Source organism: Homo sapiens, chromosome 11 (assembly GCF_000001405.40).
Source record: "Homo sapiens chromosome 11, GRCh38.p14 Primary Assembly".
NCBI lineage: Eukaryota > Metazoa > Chordata > Mammalia > Primates > Hominidae > Homo > Homo sapiens.
In genome coordinates, this window is record NC_000011.10 from 115,903,497 (window position 1) to 115,909,496 (window position 6,000).

Here is a 6,000-nt window from a genome sequence, read left to right on the forward strand (position 1 = left end):
ATCTCCCCAAAGCAATAGCTAAAGATACATCCTGAAAGCCATGAGAGTTTCAAGCACCTTCCCGTTGATGCTCACTGCGATTTCAAATACAGCACTGGAAATGAGCATAATTATCCTGATATGTGTGGACAGTTCAGTGCACAATAGGTTGAGATGATTAACTCTCTTATTCAGGACACTACATTTCTATTATGTTACATTAGTCTTGTTGAAAGTCATGTACCATGCTATTCCATAATGAGCTTACAGTCAACTAATCCCCTATGGCTTTGTTTTACACGAATTTCTAGAAAACTAAGACTTCTCCCATTCTATATTTGCACAGTTCATTTTGGAACTAAGGGTGGGACCCAAAATGTATCTCTGATAAAATTCATCTTGTGTATTCTATCCCCTCCTTCTAGCCTGCCTTCTGAATCTAGATTTTGTCATACAGCGTTATTAACTATCCCTCCCAGCTGGGTGCCATCTGCAACTTTGATAGCAAGCTTTCTCCATGATTTAGGCAGACATTTGTGATGGTCAAGTTTCAGCAGACTACTGTTTTGCATAGGCTATTGTTAAAATGAGCTTGTATCCCTTTGCATATATTATTCAATGAAAGGAAATTAGTAGGCCAGTGAACCAATGGTTGAGCTACCAACTGCAGAGAAGGTGACATGTTAAAACTTTGAATTGGCTCTATTTTACTTTTTGTATTGCTCCTGAAAGGTGAAAGGGGATAGCAGAAAAATCCTTTCTTGGTGCTGGAGAAATTGTTTGTTCTTGTTTGAGGACTAATAGATGTCTAACAGGTATCATTGGAACTTGCACATAACCAAAGCAAAACTTTTATTTTCCCTCCCAATCAGCTTCTCCCTAAGCTGCCTCATCTCAGAAAATGACACTTTCATTCTTCCATTTGCTCAGTCCATAAAACCTTGGTGTCATTTTCACTCTACTTTTTTTTTTCCCACTCCAAATGCAAATTATTAGCAAATTTTTTCAGCTCAACCTTCAGAAAATATCCAGGACTTCATCATGTTTTCATCACCCCAACTGCCACCACCCTTCTTCACCCTGACATCTTCTCTTGCCTGGATTATAGCCACAGCCTCCGAAGAGGTGAACCTGTCTCCTGATTTCCATTGTTGTCCAACCATAGCCCCCTTAGCAGCCAAAGCCATCCTTTAGAAAAACTAAGTCAGATCATGCCACTCTTCCGCTTAAAGCTCTCCGACGGCTCACTCAGAACGACCTATGCCAGCCTAAAGCGTCCTAGATGATCAGGCCCTTCTGATCCCTCTGACCCCTCTGACCTCCTCTCTCAGTCCTCCCGCTTGTTCACTGCACTTCGGCCACAGCTTTGGCTGTGCCCTTTCTATTTTACATTTTTTCCTGCTAAAATGCTCCTTTCCTGGTTATATGCATAGCAAGGTTTTGTTACCTTTTCATAAGGCCTTCTCTAACCATCCTATATAAAATAGCACACCTCTCCCACCTCGAGTGTTTTTTTCTGTCTTTTTATTCCATTTTATTTTTCTCCATAGCCTTTAGCACTACCTGGGCACAATATTCACTGATTTCTGGCTTATTGTCTCTCTCTTTCCACTAGAATATAAACTCCATAAGGGCAAGGGCTTTGTTTTGTTCACTACTATACTCTAGTGCTTAGAACAAGCCTGACACATAAAAAGCTTGCAATAAATATGTGTGGAATAAATGAGCCAGTGGCATTGAGTTCAACATGGTGTTATCTGGTCTCAGTTGCTTCAGATGTAATGTGATATTCGTTCAACAGATTTCAATCCATTTTTTCTCCCAATGCTAAGGAATTCTTCCTTTAAGTGAATATATAAGCAGAAATCAAACCATTTCAACCAGAAAAGCTCCACTTCTAATTAATTAATTATATTAAGTGAGCTTTTCTGGTTTACATGAGGGTAGAAAATAAATCAAGAACTGCCCCCCACTCCCCCAGTCATCATGTCTGCTCCAAAGTTTCCTCAGGGAGAATGTTTAAAAACCACAAAACCTAAATATTTCTATGACTTGATCAGTATGATGACTAGGAGTTACCAGAATTCATTACTAAGAATCATTGTGGTATATCATCATTTATGAGATTTTTTTAAAGGGGAAGCAATTATTTTTTAAACCTTATTTGAGCTTAGCTCTTACATCTTCCCTCCCAGTACTGAGGTGGGGGATAGATTAGATGACCTCTGAAGGTCTTGTTTCAGGATGAAGATTGTATGATGAAACATGAGCAGCCAGTGCTGCCATAATGTGTGTTCCTGCCTGAGATAGGAGAAAGGAGCTGTGGATTTTAGGGGAAGATGAAACTGAAATTTCAAATGCGACTCAACCCATTGCTGAAATGGAGGAACATTAAGTCTTCAAAGTTAAATGCAGATTCAATTAGAAATTTCACTGAAATTTCAAATTACAACCATTTTTCCCTCTAAACGACAGAATTATATGGCGTCAAGGAGAAACTGACAGGTAATTTGGGAAACTAAAGGTTCCTTGGACTCCGTAGTTAATGGAGAGTTTAGCACCAATTCCTGCGTAATTTGCACTTCTGAGAAGCAGAATTATTATAAAGTCAGACATCTCCAGCACTTTCAACTCTTGGATCTGCCGGGCTCTAAGATGACCAGGAATGTGGAAGGACCGAGGTCAGAGGTTGCCATTTCAATATCTGAGGCTGCCCAGCTCCCCCAAACTGGCATTTGAACTGAAGAGTTGAAAATTGGAGGTGACATTCAGAAGTCTCTGAAAATTATAACCCCGACTTCCTCCTTGAAAAGCTTATCTGAATCCTAGCTTATCCTTTGATGGGGTTACTGAAAAAGCACTCTGCTCTGAGCTCTTGAAAGATAACATTCAGCGCAAGTGAGGCCTGGCTGTATCCCTTGGGGGAAAACAGTGGCAGATGTAACAAGCTGGGGACGCTAATTAAAGGGTCTGGGCAACTTTCTGGGGATGAAGGAGTCTGCCCCTTCAGTCTCTGCTCCTCATGCTCATCAGGGAGTAACACCCTGAGTGCATGGGGCCCCATTAATAGAGGGGCCCTCCACTGCTGCCCCAGGAGGCAGCCTTCGTGCCTAAAACGGGGGTCACTCGGGAGAGGATGACTTCTCCTGCTGCTCAGGTGGCTTCTCTGCCTGTCTTTCTGTGGAACAGGGATGAGAAGGGAGTGAAGAGCTGCAAGGCCAAAGATCCCTTCTTTCCCAGGCATCAGGTAAGTCTCAGCAGTCCTGCAGACTGAACCACGGTCAGTGTTGGAATCAATGCTCCCGACTCCTTTGAGATGCAACTAGAACCATCCCTCATTTACTGCCACCAGTGCCGGTCTACTCTCTTTCTGAGCTCCACACTGCTCAGGGTCTCTCATGTTTGTTTTTGCCCTTCTCATTCTCTGCCTTACATGGCTATTTAAACATTTGCTGTGGGTTCCAGGACCTTCCAGCCAGGTGATAAGGTCCGTGAAAGCAGGAACTGTGTCTTATAATTGTAGCGCTCCCAAAGCTTCCTATAAGTTGCTGAGTACATAATAGGTGCCCATAAAATACTCTGCTCATCATCCGTCAAGTATCCAGTGAGCATGTTCGTTTTGTAGGACATGGCCCACTAAGTAGGAACCTGCTGCCTCCTCCTGCCCCCTGCCTCTGCCTCCAGCTGGCTGTGTGGCTTTGGACAAATAAACTCACTCTTGTAGCCTCCGTTTTTTACCTATCGTGAAGGGTAGAAAAGCCAGCCTTGTCTATTTCATAGCATAGTTGTAAAGGTTAAAGCAGTAAATTAATATGCTTGGTTTTTGGTCAAAATTATAATTTTTGTTTATAAGCACATGGGATTTAGGCTAGAGTTTTAGACACCTCTCTGGGTGTCAGTTTTTTAAGTAACATTTTTCATTCTTTATATTTTTAAAATGTATCCATTGTTCAATAAATATGCAATGAGTACTCACTATATGCAGAATATTGTGCTACCTGCTAGGAATAAAAGGATGCATCTAAGCCATGTCTCCTTTCCTACCATCTTACATTTCAGTGAGAGAGATAAGATTGGCAAACAACTAATAGATAAAACAAATGTTTCCTTATGTAAGAGACGATTATTACATATTGTTGTATATTCCCTATGATTATGCATATTACTCAAGTTGTATTAATTCTGCAAACATGTACCTATATGATTCTAAAAATGTCAGATGAACCACAAAAAAAATCCATTCCTGGACTTTGTAAAACACAAATCCACTTGATTTGTAGAGGTTTCTTTATAAAAATAAGCACTGGTTATGGAAAGAAACAGCAAAACCTTTTTTAAGTGAGTATCTAGGTGGGAAAAGAATGGTTTTAGAAGACATACAGCCAAGTGTACAGGTCAGCGGGCAGCTCAAATAATACCCTCAGCCCCAATGCCAGTCCTGAAACAAAACCAGTGGAGGCTGAGCAGCCTCTGCAGCAGATAAACCACCAGACACATGGCCATGGAAGAGTCAGTGCTAAGGAAGGGACTTGGGAAAGTGGGAAGCACCATCTGGGGCTGTTCTGGAGCAAAGAGTTCTCTGAGCTGACAGTCCAAGTTAAGCAGTAAACAATCATTGATTTTGCAAACAGAGCGTTCTTTCCTAAACCAAAGAGTAATCTTCTTATGTGCACAATGTGGAAAGGACAGTTGGTCCCAGGATGGTCTTTTTCATCTACGGCCGCACACACAGATAACAGTTATTGTCAGTATCACCATTCCCTAAAATAAATGACAGATAAATACAAATCTGGGAAGCTCACACATAGATGTACTATCTTCATAAAGTCCTTGTGTAACATAAAAATTTAATAACCCAGGTCATAGGTGTGGTAAAAAAAAAATCTGTAAGTAGTGTTTTAAAACAAATGTACTAAAGTTTGTGACAACTGTGCTACTCAGTCCCATCAGGTAAATTTTGATGTCTTTGTGTATATAATCTATCTTGTTCTCCCCAAAATGCCTAGAAGAGCATCTGGAAATAGTAGATGTCAACAAATTCATTTTTTAAAAGTTGTACTTAAGTGTTGCTAGAATAGCTAAATCAGTAGTGAAATAGTCAGTCATCTTATTCTGTTAAAAGCCCATCAATCAGATTGGCCCATTTGTTTTCCCTCTTTTAGAAAGTTAGCCCCATAAGAGCAGATCTTGTCTTTTGTATTCACTGATAAACTCTCAGTTCCTAGAACAGTGTTTGGCATATGGTAGGTGCCCAATAAACATTTCTTCAGTGAATGATCCAGTAGGCAAACTTGTTGACTGAATACATTGGTTTCAAGTCCCTGTTAACAAGTAAGGGACCTTCTGTACTAGTTGAACTGAAATCATATTAGCTATGCAACAAAAGTTCATTCGTTTATTCATTTATTCTCCATTTATTTACTTATTTATTCATTCATTCAAAAAGAAGCTATTTAGCATTGAGTATGTTCAAGTGACTGTGATGGAAGACACAAAGTCACATTATGGGAGGCACGAAGATGGACAAGAAATATTTTCCACCACTAGAAAAGTTATAATCATGTTTGTATCATGGAGAGAAACGTAACCAAATAGAACAATTGGATTAGGGTTGAATTGGAAAGATAACCTCTCAAGTTTCCTTAATTCTGAGATTCTGTGATACTGTGATTGAAGTGCTAATTTCAGATATCTATGATACATGCAACCTGATGTTATTGAGATTAAAAAATTAAACTCTTTTAATGGCAAGGGATTTATGAAGAATGTGTATTTTGAGTGAATTGGTATTTGAGAGCTAGAGGATCACTAGATTGCCCTGGGTTCTGAGCAGCCTCCACATCACTGGGTCGGATAGTGTACTATCCATGCCTTCCATGCCTTCCATGGAGTGTATTGCCTGCAGCCCGAATTCAGAATGACCTTGGCCCCAGCCAGTAGCCCTCCTACAGAACAAGTCACCCTCTTATGTACCATACCTCCACGGAGTCACCGTGGATCTGCTGCTAAAACATGGAGGGA